The sequence below is a fragment of the Homo sapiens genome, chromosome 6 (genome assembly GCF_000001405.40).
Source record: "Homo sapiens chromosome 6, GRCh38.p14 Primary Assembly".
Classification (NCBI taxonomy): domain Eukaryota; kingdom Metazoa; phylum Chordata; class Mammalia; order Primates; family Hominidae; genus Homo; species Homo sapiens.
This window is the reverse complement of record NC_000006.12, coordinates 130,940,508-130,959,110: the sequence shown is the minus strand read 5'-3', so window position 1 is coordinate 130,959,110 and position 18,603 is coordinate 130,940,508. Positions and strand designations below refer to the sequence as shown.

The 18,603-nt window shown below is 37.6% G+C and overlaps 1 protein-coding gene across 23 annotated transcripts in view; it reads left to right on the top strand.

Moving 5' to 3' along the window:
• Window positions 1-18,603, top strand: part of EPB41L2 (erythrocyte membrane protein band 4.1 like 2) — a 223,899-nt gene that overhangs the window by 104,135 nt on the left and 101,161 nt on the right. For 21 of the 23 annotated variants that reach the window (NM_001135554.2, NM_001350314.2, NM_001350311.2 and 18 more), the window contains exons 2-3: window positions 2,612-3,117; window positions 3,794-4,006. The exons of the other annotated variants lie outside the window; for them this stretch is intronic. In NM_001135554.2, coding sequence (NP_001129026.1) covers window positions 2,626-3,117; window positions 3,794-4,006 — 705 coding nt within the window. In that variant the 5' untranslated portion in view covers window positions 2,612-2,625. The remainder of the gene's footprint in view (window positions 1-2,611; window positions 3,118-3,793; window positions 4,007-18,603) is intronic. 23 annotated transcript variants of the gene reach the window in all.

Sequence of the window (18,603 nt, the reverse complement as noted above, 5' to 3'; positions counted from 1 at the left end):
GCCCGGACATCAAGTCATATCCACTCTACCTCTTTACCATTAGATTAATTTCTTGTTCTTTACCCTACTGTTTCTGCTGTAGTATATATAGACCATCGTCTTCTCAGGTCTGGATCAACCAGAGATCAGATCAACCCAATCTCCTGGATGTCTTTCTGCTTCAGTCTTTTCTTTCATCCTGTGCTTTACAGCCAGGTTGCGCTAAGTGAAATGAGAATCTTATTACATTTCTCCTCTACTTCAAGTACTTATGTAACTTCTCATTGCTTTTCAAATAACCCCCACATTGCCTTTAAAATAACACAAAATCTTTTATGTTTTGGCTTCTGCCTTCCTTTCTTACTTCATTATTACCAGTTCAGCTTCCGCCTGTCCTGTCTTCACTCATAAGCCCCCACTTCACTTGTACAGTGGATTATTGTTCTGTGCCTGTGGTTTCCTTTTTTATGAGGAATGTTCTCATGTTTCCACACAACTCCCTATGCCTGACACATACCTTCCATTCTGGCTATTTTGTCTGAATAATGAGTACCCATTTAAAAAATAAACTCAAATGTCAACTTCTGCAGAAACGCCTGCCTGGTGACCCTCTTCTTCTCCTAACCTGGCTTAAGTCCTTTGCTTTTTTTTTTTTTTTTTTTTGTTGTTGTTGTTGTTTTGAGACAGGGTCTTGTTTTGTCGCCTAGACTGGAGTGCAGTGACACAATCTCGGCTCACTGCAACCTCTGCCTCCTGAGTTCAAGCTATTCTCTTGCCTCAGCCTTCCGAGTAGCTGGGATTACAGAGACGTGCCACCACGCTCAGCTAAGTTTTGTATTTTTAGTAGAGATGGGGTTTCGCCATGTTGGCCAGGATGGTCTCGAACTCCTGACCTCAAGTGGTCCACCCTCCTCGACCTCCCAAAGTGCTGGGATTACAGGCATGAGCCACTGCACCTGGCCTAGTCCTGTGTTTTTTGTGCAACATGCTATTGACTTAATGTATGCTTATTTGTAGCCCTCACTCCCTTAGCTCCTCAAAGGTTGTCTTTATTCATGTGCCCATGAACTTACCACATCGTAGAAGCCATTATATAGGTGAATTGACTTGACTGTTTTTGTGGTTGCATATTAGATGTGAAAAACATTTTTAAGTTATTTTTATTGAGAAAATTTACATATCACAAAATTCACCCTTTTAAAGTATACAATCCAGTGGTTTTGGATATATTCGTAAGGTTGCCAGGGGGCGACGGGGAATGCAGAGTGACTACTAATGGGCACAGGATTTCTTTTTGGAGTGATGAAAATGCTCTAGAATTAGTGGTGGTGGTTGTACCACTTTGTGAGTATACTCAAAATCACTAACTGTATACTTTAAGAGGGTGAAATTTATGGTACATGAATTATATCTTAATAAAGCTTTAAAACAAGTGTACTTTTTTTTTTGACTTATTCAAGTTTGTACCACTTAAAAAGTTAACACAATTTTTTTTTTTTTTAAGAGATGGGGTCTCACTCTGTTTCTCAGGCTGGCCTCAGACTCCTGGGCTCAAGCATGTTTCTTGTCTCAGACTCCCAAGTAGCTGTGACTACAGGAATAACCATGTCCGTCTCTTAAGTTTTTACCACCTTTGAAGATAGCTGGGACACTACTCGTTGTCCAGGGTGCCAGGACTCTGGGCACTTATTATTGGCAAGGGAGGGGAGAGCGAATGTGATCGGCTATCTCCGCAGGCCCCGCCTGTTGTTCTTTATGTCAGCGTGCTGTAACACTTTAAAAGTCCCTCTTTGCTTATGTAAAATTTAGTTATTTTCAGAATTTATTTAAATTTTGTTCTAATTAGTTATGATAAGAACAATCGTCAGATGCATTTTTTCCACCTCATAATGTCCTCATTTGGTTTGGATTATGGCCCTTAAATATTTTTCTTATATATAGAAAGAAAAGTGTGATTATGGTTGGGTGGGATGGAGGTTCGGAGTTTTGATTAGAATTTGAGTACCTTTTCCAAGATTAACTTTTGCATTGGAACAGTGATGGTGAATTACGGGATTTAATATTGGAACACAGAATAATACATTTTTGTTATTTTACCTTCTTGGCTGTTACACACCATACACTTAAAACTGTTTTTTCTAATACCTAACATTTTGATAGATTTTGGGTTTAATGTATGAAATTGTAGTGAAATGTGTCTCATTGCTTTCTAGCACTGTTGATAACATCTTCCTGTTACAGAATAAAGAATACCAAGTACAGATAAAAGTAATTTTTCTTAAAAAACTTGGATTTTAGATATCAATTATTGTTTATAACAAGTTGAAACCAAATAAAAGTAATCCCTGTTTCTTGAGTTCTTGATGATTTTAAGTTCTAGCTATATGGAACTCAGAACACACAGAGTTCTATTGTGATGCTAGTTTTGGGTCTGTGATGCTGATAGAGAATTCTAAAAGTTCGAGCAACAGTCTCCATTTTGTCTTGTGCTTTTGAATCTTCTTTCTTGATGTGCTTTCTCCCTGTCATCTGTTACTCTTCTTCTCATCTTTCCTTACCATGCCCCTCGCAACCAAACTAAATTTGAGAGAACTTACAAAATGACATTTTATGATTTTTGTTTTGATTACAGCATAAGCTGTGGCCATGACTACTGAAGTAGGCTCTGTGTCTGAAGTGAAGAAGGACTCTAGCCAGTTAGGAACAGATGCAACCAAGGAAAAACCTAAAGAAGTAGCAGAAAATCAGCAGAATCAGTCTTCCGATCCAGAGGAGGAAAAAGGTTCCCAGCCACCTCCTGCAGCTGAAAGCCAAAGTAGTCTACGCCGCCAGAAGAGAGAGAAGGAAACATCGGAGAGCAGGGGTATTTCTCGGTTCATACCGCCATGGCTTAAGAAGCAAAAGTCATATACCTTAGTAGTGGCCAAAGATGGAGGAGATAAAAAAGAGCCTACCCAAGCTGTTGTTGAAGAACAGGTCTTAGATAAAGAGGAACCCCTTCCAGAAGAACAGAGACAGGCTAAGGGTGATGCTGAAGAAATGGCTCAGAAGAAACAAGAGATTAAAGTTGAAGTCAAGGAAGAAAAACCCTCAGTGAGCAAGGAAGAAAAACCCTCAGTGAGCAAAGTGGAGATGCAGGTATGTTTGGGAATAATTGCCTGGAAATGAAAACCTGATAGCGTAACCACATAATAAAAAGGGTTTGTTTGTTTTGGATCATTTCCAGATTTCTTGTACTGAGATACTGCTTTAGCTTAATGTATACGGAATGGGTCTTAGATTGGTCTACCATAGCCTTTCCCTGTTACTCCTTGAAAAAAAAGTCCCCTATATATACCAATTACTAAAAAATTCATGTCTGTAACCTGTTTAGGTGAGGTAGATACTCCGAGCCCTGCCATCTCTTTTTTAAACAGAATGCTCTTTTATGCCTCTTTAAGTTTTCACTGGACAGTAAGTAGTAGATTTGTGTGTGCGCATTTTAGTTGCCTAACAAAGCCTAGGTTTTGCCATGGTATAAGATTTTAATTGGAAATGTTATTATTTGAGATGATACTTAAATTGTAGTTGCTGGGATGTAGTTTCTTTGATTCATTTAATGCCAAATAACCAACTTGGCAAAATGAGAATTTTGGCCATGAAAAGAGGATGAGGGGAAATATCCTTTCTATTGGAATTTTCAAGTCTTTAAAAATCTGAAAGTTACAGTGTTTAAAGTAACGATCCTAATTCTTATGAAAGATTTTCCTTTTAGTATGTTGTCATCTGCAAGGTGGTTGACTATAGTATGAATTTATTTTTTTTTCCTCAACAGCCTACTGAATTAGTAAGTAAGGAGAGAGAAGAGAAGGTAAAAGAAACACAGGAAGACAAATTAGAAGGAGGAGCAGCAAAAAGGGAGACCAAGGAAGTGCAGACCAATGAGCTGAAAGCAGAGAAGGCATCTCAAAAAGTCACCAAGAAGACCAAAACTGTCCAGTGTAAAGTGACCCTCTTAGATGGCACCGAATACAGCTGTGACCTGGAGGTGAGATAGGGAGCTGAGTGAGAGCTAGCTTGATATGTGGATTGTGGCATGGCATGATGAATAGATTTTTGTGTTTTATTAAGTTCCTGTAAGCCAGTTGATTACAGTTTTGCACTAAAAAAAATACATTGAAGTGGGTCATCATTTCTGTCACAAATATTTCATGACCTTGGGATAAGCAGGGATGCTATTCTGCCAGTCTGCACTAGCCGTGTTTACTGGTTCGTGTGTTAATGACTGGGTGTTAAATATTTGGAATATTGCTTTTGGCTAGAAGATGTTTTTCTTGAGGAAAAATGATAGCACTAGGCTGACATTTCAGAATAAAGAAGTTTCAGCAGTAAACTTAGCCCCAAGTGTTTTATCCTGAGACAGATACTGGCTTAACATCTAATTTATTTACTTTCATTTAATTAAAAAACATCTATGATTTGCAAAACATACAGTTCATTAGCGCTGGTGCTGACAGAAGTCACTTTAATCTTTTAACGCATCTAGTACCTTATAATTTTATGTCAATCAGAAGAGTTTGTTGCTTTCCACAAATTATTTACGTAACGTATACTAATAGCTAATGTTTGCTGAAGAACTGTGTGAAGTGCTTTGAATGGATTATCTTGTTTAATGGATTATCTTGTTTTATTGATTAAGAATCAATAAAGGTAGATATTATCATTGCTATTTTCAGTGTTACATGTTACAACGGGGAACTTAGGGCTTAGAGAAGTTAAATTCCTTGCCCAAAGTTTTAGGGCTGGGTGCGGTGGCTCAAGCCTGTAATCCCAGCACTTTGGGAGGCCAAGGCGGGCGGATCACGAGGTCAGGAGATCCAGACCATCCTGGCTAACATGGTGAAACCCTGTCTCTACTAAAAATACAAAAAAATTAGCCAGGCGTAGTGGCGGGCGCCAGTATTCCCAGCTACTGGGGAGGCTGAGGCAGGAGAATGGCGTGAACCCGGGAGGCGGAGCTTGTGGTGAGCTGAGATTGCGCCACTGCACTCCAGCCTGGGCGACAGAGCGAGACTCCGTCTCAAAAAAAAAAAAAAAAAAAAAAAAAAAAAAGAAAGAAAAGGACTAGCAAAAGAGGATTAAAAATCCTTGTCTTAGTTGTCTTAGTTTTTGCTGTTGTAACAAAATACCGTCAACTGGGTAATTTAAAAACAACATGAATTTATTGCCCACAGCTCTGGAGGCTAGGAAGTCCCAGATCAAGGCACCAGAAAATTTGGTGTCTGGTGAGGGGCTTGATCTCTGCTTCCAGGATGGCCCCTCCTTTCTGGATCTTCACATGGTGGAAAGGCCAAGTGCTGTGTCCTCACCTGATGGAAGGACAAGGCAGCTCCCTTCAACCTCAGTTACAGGGGCACTAATCCCAGTCATGAAGGCAGAGTGATTAAGTCATTTCCTAAAGACGCCACCTCTTTTTTGTTTTTTTTTTAATACTTTAAGTTCTAGGGTACATGTGCACAATGTGCAGGTTTGTTACATATGTATACATGCGCCGTGTTGGTGTGCTGCACCCATTAACTCATCATTTAAATTAAGTATATCTCCTAATGCTATCCCTCCCCCATCTGCGCACCCCATGATAGGCCCCAGTGTGTGATGTTCCCCTTCCTGTGTCCAAGTGTTCTCATTGTTCAATTCCCACCTGTGAGTGAGAACACGTAAGACACCACCTCTTAATGCCACCACCATAGGGATTAGGTTTCAGCGTGAATTTTGGAGGGAAGCATTGAGACCATGGCAGTCCTTAAAGCTTTCTTTTCTTCTCCTGCTCTTTTTAACACTTTGTTTGCCCTTTCCTGAGACTCCCTTTCTATCCCAGGGAGAGAGGAGAGGTCTTAGGGATAGGAGTAAGAGACCATAAAGAAAGGGACAGAATGGTTTTTTGAACTTGATTACATTATATTTGATTGCATGTCCCTTGTCTTTCCTACCTATCCTAGAAATTAGGGGATGTAGATTTTTGAGAACCAACTTGATGTTAATGTGACCTTAAGTCATTTGCTCAACCTCTGTAGACCTCAGTTTCTTCATCTGTAGAATATAGAATTATTTAGATCATCTAGAATGCCCTTTTATTTCTGAAGTTCTTTATATCACTAAACCACAAGACTGACCAACGTACTTTATGGTTTAAATCTATCTTTGTTCTCTTTTTTAAAAAAAATCATAAAATATTTTAAAAATACAAAAATATAAAAATAATAGAGGAGACAGTTGTGTATCCAGCACAAAAATTTCTATCATTTGTTACCATTTTGCCATGTGTTTTAGATTTTTTTTTTTTGAGATGGAGTCTTGCTCTGTGGCCCAGGCTGGAGTGCAGTGGCACGATCTCGGCTCACTGCATCCTCTGACTTTCTGGTTCAAGCGATTCTTCTGCCTCAGCGTCCTGTGTAGCTGGGATTACAGGCATGAGCCACCACACCCAGCTAATTTTTGTATTTTTAGTAGAGACGGGGTTCCACCATGGCCAGGATGGTCTCGATCACCTGACCTCGTGATCCGCCCACCTTGGCCTCCCAAGTGCTGGGATTACAGTGTTTTAGATCTTTAACAAAATAGAACATTTAAGACATTGCCAAAGTCTCATTCTCATCTTTTCCTTCTTGTCCTGCATGTATCTTTTTGTGATATATAAATCTATTCATTTAGACTGTTGTATAGTATTTCTTTGACTAAACTAGTTTATTCCCCTCCTGAGTCACAGTTTCTTTGTATACTATAAGAAATAGTTCTTTAGTGAACATTTTAAGACATGTTTCCTTGTGTAAGAGTTTCTTCAGGGTAGATACCTAGTGGCGGAATTGCTAGATTGATGGAATCCAGTTTTACTTCTTCAGTTTCCCCAGATATTGCCAAAATAATAAATGAAATTGATAAAATTGACCATTTACATTTCAACCAGCAACCATTAAGTTTGATTTTGCCACATTGTCATCGGTGATTCTTGTTACCAGACTTATTAATTTGGACCAATCAAATGTATGTGAAATACCTTCTCAGTATTTTAACTTGCATTTGTTTGATCACTGTCAGCTTTCACTAGGTTATGTTGCAGTAGCCAAAAAATCTGCAAATCTTCACGACTTTTAATAAAAATGGTTTATTTCTTGCTCATGTTACATGTGCTTGGTGGGTTTGTTATGGCTCTTTTCCACACCATCTTTATTTCTGATCAAGACTGAAAGAATAGCCTCTACCTGGGATATGCTGGTTTCATGATAAAGGGAAGAGAAAACATGGTAGAACCATACTACAGTTCTTGAATCTTCTGCTTGGAAGTGGTATATATTACTTTAACTCACATTTCATTGGCCAATTAAGTCTCATGGCCAAGGCTGATAACAGTATAGTGGGCAAGTATGATCCTCTCATGGGAAGGATACTCAAAACCATGAAAACAGTACTACAGCTTATATTAGGCTGGTGCAAAAGTAATTGCAGTTTTTGCCATTAAAATTAATGAGGCTGGCCGGGCACAGTGGGTCATGCCTGTAATCCTAGCACTTTGGGAGGCTGAGGCAGGCGGACCTGAGGTCAGGGGCTCGAGACCAACCTGACCAACATGATGAAACTCCATCTTTACCAAAAATACAAAAATTTTAGCCGGGCGTGGTGGTGAGTGCCTATAATCCCAGCTACTGGGGAGACTGAGGCAGGAGAATCACTTGACTCCATGGGGCAGAGGTTGCAGTGAGCCAAGGTTGCGCCACTGTACTTCAGCCTGGGCGACAGAGTGAGACTTTTGTCTCAAAAAAAAAAAAAAAAAAAAAAAAAAAAAGTACTGAGGCTGAGCATCTTTTTTCTCCTCCCCTCCCCCCCTCCCCCTCCTTTTTTTTTGGAGACAGTTGCTCTGTCACCCAAGCTGGAGTGCAGTGGCATGATCTTGGCTCACTGAAACCTCCACCTCCTGGGTTCAAGCAATTTTCCTGCCTCAGCCTCCCAAGTAGCTGGGATTACAGATGCATGCCACCATGCCTGGCTAATTTTTGTATTTTTGGTAGAGACGGGGTTTCACCACATTGGCCAGGCTGGTCTCAAACTCCTCACCATCTTTTTATGTTTTATTTAGGTTTATATGATCACTCTGAAATTTTTAAAAATAAATATTATTTCTCAGATTAAGGACTTTCTCCCCTAGTTTCTAGACTTACTCATGAGTAGGTGGTGAATTTTATCAAATGTATTTTTTGCATCAACTAAGAGGATCATGTATTTTTCTAACCCGCTAATGTTGTAATCTACATTATTTTCTACTGTTAAACCATCTGAATTTCTAATGTAAACTTGGTAGTGATGATTCTGCATTCATTTTGTATTATTTTTATTTAGGACTTTTGCATATATTGCCTTTAATTTTCTTTTATCGAATTGTCTTCCTCAGATTTTGTTATCTGGGTTGTATTCTATCCTCATAAAGTTGCTTCCCTTTTACCATTACCTAGAAAAGCCTTGGATAAATTACTGTTGGTCTATTTTTGGTGATCTGGTAGAACTTGACTTTAAAACTGTCTTGGATGGTAGCCTTTTTGGGAGAAGAGTGGAAGTGGAAGGTAGTTTTTGTTTTTTTTAAATCGTTGATTCAAATTTTTAAATTTTTTTTTCCCGAGTTAGTTACAGCAATTAATATTTTTGGTAGAGATTGTCCATTTCATCTAATTTGACAAATTTATTGGCATGAAGGTTTTCATAATATTCTTGTTTTGTGCATTTGATTTTTATTTCTTATTTCTAGTGTCGTTTGCCTTTTTAAAATTATTCTTACTATAGATTTACCATTATATATTTTTTCCCAAAGGAAACAACTTGGTTTTATCATTTCTATTGTATCTTCTCTATTTTGTAACATTTCATCTCGTTTTGCTCTTTTTCTTTGGGATAACTGTGCTTTTTCTAATTTCTTAACACTTAAAACATTGCTTTCATAGCTCTAATTTTCCCTTGAAGTACCTCTGATTGATTGTACAAATTTGAAATACAGTTGACCCTTGAACAAGGAGGGAGTTAGGGGTACCAGCCTTCTGCACAGTTGAAATTTTACATATAACTCTTGACTGCCCCCACATGTAACTACTAATAATCAGTCTCCTGTTGCCTGGAGCCTTTCCAATAACGTAAACAGTCAACACAATTTTGTGTGTTGTATTATATACTGTATTCTTAACAATAAGGTAGAGAAAAGATGTTCTTAAAAAATAAGAAGGAGAGAAAATATATTTACTATTCATTAAGTGGAAGTGGATTATCATTAAGGTCTCCATTCTAATTGTCTTCATATTGCCTGAGGAAGAGGAGGAGGAAGAGGAGGGACTGGTCTTGCTGTCTGTTTCTTGGTGGAAGAAAATCTAGGTGTAAGTGGATCCATGCAGTTCAGACCTGTGTTGTTCAAGAGTCAACTATATAGTGCTTTCATTACCATTCAGTTTTAATTTTCTCGTCCTATCCCATTTGGGTCTCCCCTCTCCTCCACTCTCCTCCCCTCCCCTCCTCTTCCCTCCTCTTCCCTTCCCTGTCCCTTTTCTTCTTTTTTCAACAGGATCTCTCTCTGTTGCCCAGACTGGAGTGCAGTGGCAGTCCCTCTTCTTGCCTCAGCCTCCAGAATATATGGGGCTACAGATATATGCCACCATGCCTAGCTTATCTTTAAATTCCTTTTATAGAGATGAAGTCTTGCTTTGTTGCCCAGGTAGGTCTCAATTACTGGGCTCAAGCAATTCTCCCTCCTTGGCCTCCCAAGGTGCTGGGATTACAGGCATGAGCCACTGTCTCTGGCCCCATTATGTATCATTTTTGACCACTGGATTTTTTATAGGTGTGATTTAAAATTTCCAAAAGTGTGTGCATTTGTGTTTATGTATGCATGTTTTGTGGGAAGAGAGAATTTTTTTGTTTGTTCATATTTCCAGTTTTATGTTACAGCGTGGTCAGAATGTGGTCTAAATAATAGAGATTCTTAAATTTATTAAGACTTTGAAATATATAGTCAATTTTTATAAGGGTTCTTTTTGAATTTGGAAAGCATGATCTTCTTATTGTTGATACCGGTTTCTAGGTCTGTCCACTTGGTCAGACAATTATGTGGGTCATGTTATCTATCTCTATTAATTGTTTAACTGCTTAGTTTATCAGTTAATAAGAGAGGTGTGTTCAAACCTTTCCTTGTAATTGTTGATTTGATAATTTCTCTTGGTATTCCTGTAAGTTTATGCTTTACAAAATTTGAGGCTAGATTGTTAGATGCACACATGTGCAGAATTATATATTCGTGGATAGCCCTTTCTTTTTTTACCATCATATAATACCTTGAAATTTATTTTATTTGATATTTATGTTATTGTACTAGCTTTATTTTAGTTAGAATTTCTCATGACTCTCTTCTGCCTTTTATCTCCTGACCTTTTTTTTGCGTTTAAACATTGTATCCTTATGTCTTTGAGATGACTTTTTAATCACATTTGAGAATTCTGTCTTTAAACTGGTAAATTTAGACCATTTATTTTTAGTACTACTGAGATTAGTGACTCTATTTTGCCATTTAATTTTGGATTGTCTATTTTTCTTCGTTTACTTGAATTTGCTTTTTTCCCTTTTACTGCTGCTCTTTTAGAAATTAAGTATATTACAGACACACTTGAGTTAATAAAGTCTAATGCTAATCACTATGCCTACTCGCCTCTTTCCCCATCTTATTTAGTATGCATTTCGTAGATCTCGGATCTCGTTTTGGAATGATACAAAAACAACAATTTCTTATCTGTGTAACTAGTCCTTCTATGATCTACTACCTGTAGGGAATCAACTTACTGTGTTGCCTGAAGCAGAGTTGAGATAGTATCCAAAGCGAAAAGCAGCAGTTTAGTCTTCTAATTCACCAAGATTTAAATTGGGAAAGCATAGGAGTCTTCATTTTTATGACTGTATTAATTTATAGTTAGAGTATCTTTTCATTTAATAGATGATTACTTAATATTGCCATTATAAGAATGAACTTTGGAGGACAAGACATGATGAAATAAGCTTAAAAACAGCATTTGTGTTGAGTAATCCTTTCTTTTTCTTTTGAGTTCATAGCAAAATGGAGTTTGAATAGATTTTAGTGATGCTATCCCACAGCAGATCTTATGTACCAGCAGTTCACTTGAATTCTAAGCTGTGACTTTACATCTCAACATAGGCCATAATTCATCAATATCCTAATAGCTATTATAACAATGCAGAAGTTATAAATTATATTCCCCATTTTATTGCATTTTCCTTTTATACAAGTTTTCCTCTTATTTTGATTTTCCCGTTGCTTGCTTAGTATCATTAGTTTGGGTCTGTTACTCATCAGACCTGTTCTTGTTTCCTCCTCAGGAGTGGAGCCCAGAGTACAGCCATCATGGGGTTGAGCAGGCTAATGTTTCCCAATTCCAGTGTTGACCTTAGGCAGATTGGATGATATGCTGATGCTGCTTATCGGTGGTTCTGTATCTCTACACCGGAAATCACCGTCTGAGGACTATTTGGGGAAGTAGATATGGGAAACTGTAGCTATTAATGAACTTTTGAGCACTCAAGGAAGGAGAATAGAATATGGGAAAGAAATACTTGTATTTGGTTTGAGAGAATAGATTTGTTTCCATCTGTTTACTCTCAGCAAATATTGTATTTCTTTATGGCTCTTCAGAGGACTGTAGTTATTGTTTGTTCTTTTTCTTTCTATATGTACATGTGTCTAATTTTCAATTAAACCTTGATATAACATGCCCACTGAAGAAGACCTAATTGTCTTCACTTAGGGTGTTTACAACAATGGAGAGAAGCCACTCAAAGCATGGGCTGTGCAGGAAGTCATGAGGTGATAGCTTGGCTTACAGGGATCTTATAGAGAGTAGGGTGAGGTTCTAAAAGGCCTCAAATGCCAGGATGAGAAGATTAAAACTGATCCATAGCAAAAAGGAGCTGCTTAGTAATGGACCAGAGGTTGTAAAGTCATTGGTATACAGGACCTAGCAAAGTCAAGGGCGCTGTTTAGATTTTGGAACATTGTAGCTAGCTATATGGCTGCAGTAATTTAAGGGGCTGGGGGGGGGGTCTTCTTTATTCAGTGCATTGCTTATGATGCACATCAGTGGTCTCTATAGATAATTTTTTTTTGTGATGCGATTAGAACATTGGGTATGTTAGGCACTTTCCTGTTCTTGTTACCTATCAGTACCTTTGGTCAACAAAAGTACCCCCTTTAAACCATTTAATGTGAATATTGCTATATCAATGGAATAATTTTTTTAAAATCAAAAAACATAATTCATGGGGGCATTTTTGTTTGACATCTGAACATCATCTCTGCTTCCTAGCTTACTCACTCTATATAATTAATATATTCTGTATAATCTATATTAACATGTTGTTATATATTTATATGTATTTTATGTGTCTATATCCCCATGTATCTGTTCATATCCCTTCTTTCTCCCCTCATCCTCTACTTTTTATGGCTTCCTGTTTCCACATTGTTTTTCCTGTGGGCTATCAACCTATTCTTTATCTCCTAAACTTCAGGAATTAGATAAAGACAACTGTCCAAGGAACCAATACAGTACTGTTTTTAAAAACAAATCGCCATCTTTGAAATTTGTGTTCTTTTAAGGAAAGAGGGCATTTGCTAATATTAAGTGGATAAAAAATTTTTATGCCACACAGAATTTTCTGGATTCCCCAAGGCTGGAAATAATAAATGAACATAAACATTGAGTAACAGTGCATTTTTAAATGATGATTATAGTTAAGTTAAAAAAAATACTATGGAAATGGCCCAACTTTAATGTTATTTTTGGCTTATGTAACAATAGGTTTATTGCTAAGCCATGCGTTAATTTTGACCTGAGGCCTAGGCTCTCTTTGTGCATTTGTTCCAAATCTTTGTGGTAGGTACTGTTTCATTGTTGTCACTGATAATTACAATTTACATTCTATACTAATTTATCATCTATTGATAGTCAACTGAGATCTCAAAAATTTTTCGAAAAAACTTTGAAGATTTTTTAATGAAGAAACTTTATAACTTGATTTTTTTGGAAATGTTTTTATCTCATTGAGATATTTAAATGGTATGTGCCAACCTTCTTTGGTTCCAGAGTTAAATTGTAGAGAATTTTTGGGTGTCTCTTGGATCCTGCATGTTTACTTCAGGGACTTGACTCTAGCACTCTTTATGATGTTGCTGCTAAGGTCATTTACATACTCAGTGTGTTAAAACAGCAGAGCTCTTTCCTCTAAGCGGGGGAAAAAAACAATAAGGTTTAGTTGAAGCCATGGATATAAAGTCAGGCGATCTATGTTTACTTTTCTTTTTACTCTTTGGGTATCTTGGGGGAGTCACTTCCTCTCTTCTATTCTCAGATTGCAAAGAGAATGAAAATATTTGCTTCCTCCATTTCTAGAATTGAGCTGGTTTTACTACAACTGATAAGTCGGTATATGTGTTTTAAAGTTTGCAAATAAGTGTGAAAGTTCCTGCAAGACTTTGGAAGCTTGAGTGAATGTGCATTCTGAGTTAGAGTTGCTCACATTTTCCTCTGGCATCTCAAAGTTGTTCCCACATGTTGATTTTGTCTGAGAATCAAGGGCATTGTTTCTGCCTACACAGGAATGTCAGTACCGTTTTTTCTTAGTTATGAATAAGGCTAACAATGTAGGCTCTCTTCATCAGTGTTCTGTTGATAAAAGTATTTCTCAGAGAGCAGAATGTGTCGAGGTCTTTTTGCCTTTCTTGTGTTGAGTTCGGGTCTCGGAAATCCAATTTGCTATCATTACTTTGAGTGTGTTTTATTTGCTTGTTTGTTTATTGTTGTTTCTTTTCACCCTCCAAGGTGGTATTTCAGACCTATAGTACTGACACTTACTAAGTTTACTAGTTAAACAGTTTCAACTATCTACATATTTGTAGAGGATCTGGAAGTTATGGCACTCTATAAGATTCCATAAAAATAGTGGCAGATTTATATGTCATTTTGGGAACTAGGAATAATTTAATGGGCATGTATTATGTGCAATTTAAAATTCCAGTGACATTGGTCAAGGTGGCATGTCTTTATCCTTTTAGCTTAAAACAGGATTTAGGGTGGTAATTCTATTCAAAACTTAATTTGTATTTACTAAATGGGAAAAGACTGCCGTGCCATGTAAGTGATAGAATATTTTGGTCCAGCTTGAAGAACACAAGGAGCTCACAGCAGCAGAGCCTGGCCTCATAATCAAGTCACTCCTTAGCTGGACCTCGGCCCCCCTCCCTCCTCCACTCTTGGTCACGTATAACCTCAGGCTATCTTTTGACCTCTGTTACCACTTGATTTTCTGAGTCTTCCCTTGTGTCAAGTTGGTCCTCTAATCAGACATATGCTGAGTTGCCTGGCCTTCCTTCCAGTTTCTGACCCTACCAACTCCACATTTTGCTTTCCCCATCACATGATTCCTGCCTATCTTAGTTTCCAACTCAAATCCAGCTCTCAGAATGTTCTTTTCTTCCTTGGAACTTGTTTGCACCATTAGTTTGGCAATTAAGCATGCACTGCCTTGTGAAAGACTCTCTTGTATTGCTGTGTTGAACAACTGCTAAACTCTTGTATTGTTTGATTTTTCTCATGCTGATGTTGTTTCTTCACCTGGTTTATTATTAGTTTCTCTGGAAAAATAACTTTCTTCTCTCTCCCCATAGAGTCTTAACGGAGGACTTTGCCTAAAATACTTCTCATAGAAAGTAATTTTGATTTATTTCCCTGTACTTTCTTGTACATTTATAAAGTTTTTATCTTTCTATCCAAGATAAATGATAGCATTTGTTTATTTATGTTCCTAAGTCTTCTCTCCATCCCCTCTAATTAGAAAACAAAGATTTGGGCATTTGTGTGTGTGTGTGTGTGTGTGTGTGTGTGTGTGTATGTGTGTGTATGTACGTATATATATATAATCCACCCACCCTCATCATTGCGACTGCTGTCCATTATTGCCCTGCTTTTCAGATGCTTGGAAACAGCAGACCGACTTGTTATATAAATACTTCAAAGGCTTATTGTAAATGAAAACTATTATGTTTCTACAAAAGATTGTGAAACTCTAGGCATGAGAGCCATATAGAAGTTACTATGGTGTGACCCTGGCCCTTTAGGAGCTCACATTCACAGCTCAGAGGGAATTGCAGGCTCCCGGAAGCTCTGTTCTTTCACTTCTGTTGGAGCTGCTATCAGACCAGGTTGTTTGCTGGCTGGGCGTAGGCTGGGCTTGAAGATACTATAATTCTTATTCTTTGTCCCTTGTTTTCTAATAATGCCTCCTCTTCTCTTGAGGAAACTAAAGAATGATAGGCCATTTTATTTCTCAGCATTCGAGGAATTCTTTCACATGCTTTTTTTCTTCTCTGTCTTCTCCACATTTGGTTTCAAAACCAGGGGATTACTTTGTTTGCCCCTGCATCACTGGTATTTTAAAAGCATTAAACTTGAAAGTAATTTCTAACTGTGAGCAGCCATCCTGACATACTTTTGAAGAAACTGTCCACCTCTTGCTGGATAGGCATGCTACACACTGGCAGCCATGCCAACTCCTTGGTGATTTACCACTTAGTAAGTTTTTACCCTCATCAGAGGGTGGTAGTAGAACAGGAACTAGATCTTTGAATTATTTCTCTGTTTTGGAATGAAAATTACTTCAGGGTCGAGTAAGGTTAGAAATGTTGGGAAAAGTTATTTTCAGAATAAAATTTATGCTTTAAAATCAGTTTGGACACATTTTTGTTACTTTAAAATATGTACTCACGCCAGTTAGAATGGCGATCATTAAAAAGTCAGGAGACAACAGATGCTGGAGAGGATGTGGAGAAATAGGAACGCTTTTACACTGTTGGTGGGAGCATGAATTAGTTCAACCATTGTGGAAGACAGTGTGGAAGATCCTTAAGGATCTAGAACCAGAAATACCATTTGACCCAGCAATCCCATTACTGGGTATATACCCAAAGGATTATCAATCATTCTACCAAAAAGACACATGCACATGTATGTTTATTGCAGCACTATTCACAGTAGCAAAGACTTGGAACCAACCCAAATGCCCATCAATGATAGACTGGATAAAGAAAATGTGGCACATATACACCGTAGAATACTATGCAGCCATAAAAAAGCATCAGTTCGTGTCCTTTGCAGGGACATGGATGAAGCTGGAAACCATCATTCTCAGCAAAACAGGAACAGAAAACCAAACACCGCATGTTCTCACTCATAAGTGGGAGTTGAACAATGAGAACACATGGACACAGAGAGGGGAACATCACACACCAGGGCCTGTCAGGTGGTGGAAGCTAGGGGAGGGATAGCATTAGGAGAAATACCTAATGTAGATGACAGGTTAATGGGTGCAGCAAACCACCATGGCACATGTATACCTATGTAACAAACCTGCACGTTCTGCACACATATCCCAGAACTTAAAAGTATAATTTAAAAAAATATATGTAGGCAGTAAAATTTAAAAAATCTTTGCCAGAGTTCATCAAATGAAGGGATGTAATCTAATTACACTCTCTCATGCAACAACAATTATCAGTATCTTTTGTTAAATCCACTGTGTTTAGAATCATTCTGTCATCATTACTGTTTTATTTCTAGTCTTTGATTTCTTTTCTATTGCTTCCTGTTCTTCTGAACAAATTTAAGATGATGTTACTGACATAGTTTTTGTTTTTCAGCTATCAGGAAATTTTACCAATTATTTGCTTTCCTCATCCTACCTCCACCTTCCCAGCTGCCAGGCATGATATGGGGGACAGGGATTTGAGAATCTTGTCTCCACCTGTGAATGTTGTTTAATTTATCACACAAAAGCTGGAATTAGGTGCATTCTATTCATCCATTCCCTTAGCAGGAGCACATACTCTGTGGCCAAGTGGAAACATGGACAGAATTTATCATTAGTATTTATAGCACTATAACATAATATGCCAGCATTTGGAGCTTAAAGGGATTGAATGCGGTATAACATAATAAAATACAGTCTGTAAAAATCCGTGGATTATTCAGAAAAATAGTTTTATGATGCAAGGTGGCTAAATTATTAAAGCACTGACATAAATGATCTGTCAGTTTGCTATTTAAATATTTATTTAATTATGCTCTACAATGGAGTTATACATCAACTCTGAACTGTGTTAGAAAAATTATGATTAGGAGTATTAATTTATCTTTTATTTTGTTTTGACTCTTATATTCTGGAGAGGCACCTGAGGGCACAAGCTCCATTCTGTCTAGTAATCAAACTACATCTCATAAGTGTACTTCATTTGCAGAATATGCCATTTTAGCCTGTTTTGAGATTAAGCCTGATTTTGTGCATCAGTCTGGTTATTTGCACAGAGAGGAAACTTAATCTGAGTGTTACCACCATCTACTTGTTGTATTCACTGACATCTCCTTCCAGATTTCTGTCAGCAACAATTTCAAGTGAATCAAATAGGACTGCTCTGATAAGCTATTCTTCCGTAGCACAGAAAGCCTGTATGAATCAAATGTCAAAATTCATTCTAGGCAAATAGTTTACAGAGAATGTGCTAGCCTACAGAAGTTTGCTGCTCATGGTTTTTGAAATAAGTTTTCATGGAAATATGGTGCTTAGCAACTTTTATGAAAGATACTTAAAAAAATTTGGTGTGCGCTTCTGGCTAGAAGTTCGATACTAGCCTCTTTATTATCTAACAGTTATAGTCAATTCTCCGTCTTTTAAAAGAGATTATAATTCATTAGAGACTTAAGCTAAGTCTTGCTGTTTAAAGTGAGTAGTAGAAAAAGTTGGACAAAAATCCTGGGTTTTCATTTTTAAAAAATTAATGACAGGGTTGCTAGTCTCCCTTTGTGATGGTATATAATTTTTAAGAAAAATGAGAAGTTAAGGAAGTCATATTTTCACACTATTTTACAAATTTCCTCTCAAAATAGTATTTATTTAAATATATCCTATGTGTTCAGAAATAATTTTTATCCCCAGATATTGATTTGGTTCCTACTTGAGCTGAGAAGATAAAAAGAAAAGTATGAAGTATCATTTTTCCTTTTATTTATGAATTTTACTTTCAGAGATAAGCTTTACATATAAGACAGTAATAGCAGGTGTTTATACACACACACACTTATATCCACATACATAAACATATGAGTCAAATTGATAAAGTATTGTTTATAGTTCTGAAAAGTAATACAAAAGCACAGAAGTGCCAAGTTACTATAGGCTGGAGTCGGTATGCATGTCTTCACTGAGGAGAAACTTTTGGATTTCAAAGAATGATATATTTAGGGCTGAGCACGCTGGCTTATGCTTGTAATCCCAGGACTTTGGGAGGCCGAGGCGGGCAGATCACACTTGAGGTCAGGAATTTGAGACTAACCTGGCCAATGTGATGAAACCCCATCTCTACTAAAAATACAAAAATTAACTGAGCATGGTGAGGGGGCACCTGTAGTCTCAGCTACTTGGGAGGCTGAGGCACAAGAATTGCTTGAACCCAGGAGGTAGAGTCTACAGTGAACCAGGATCATGCCACTGCAGTGCAGCCTG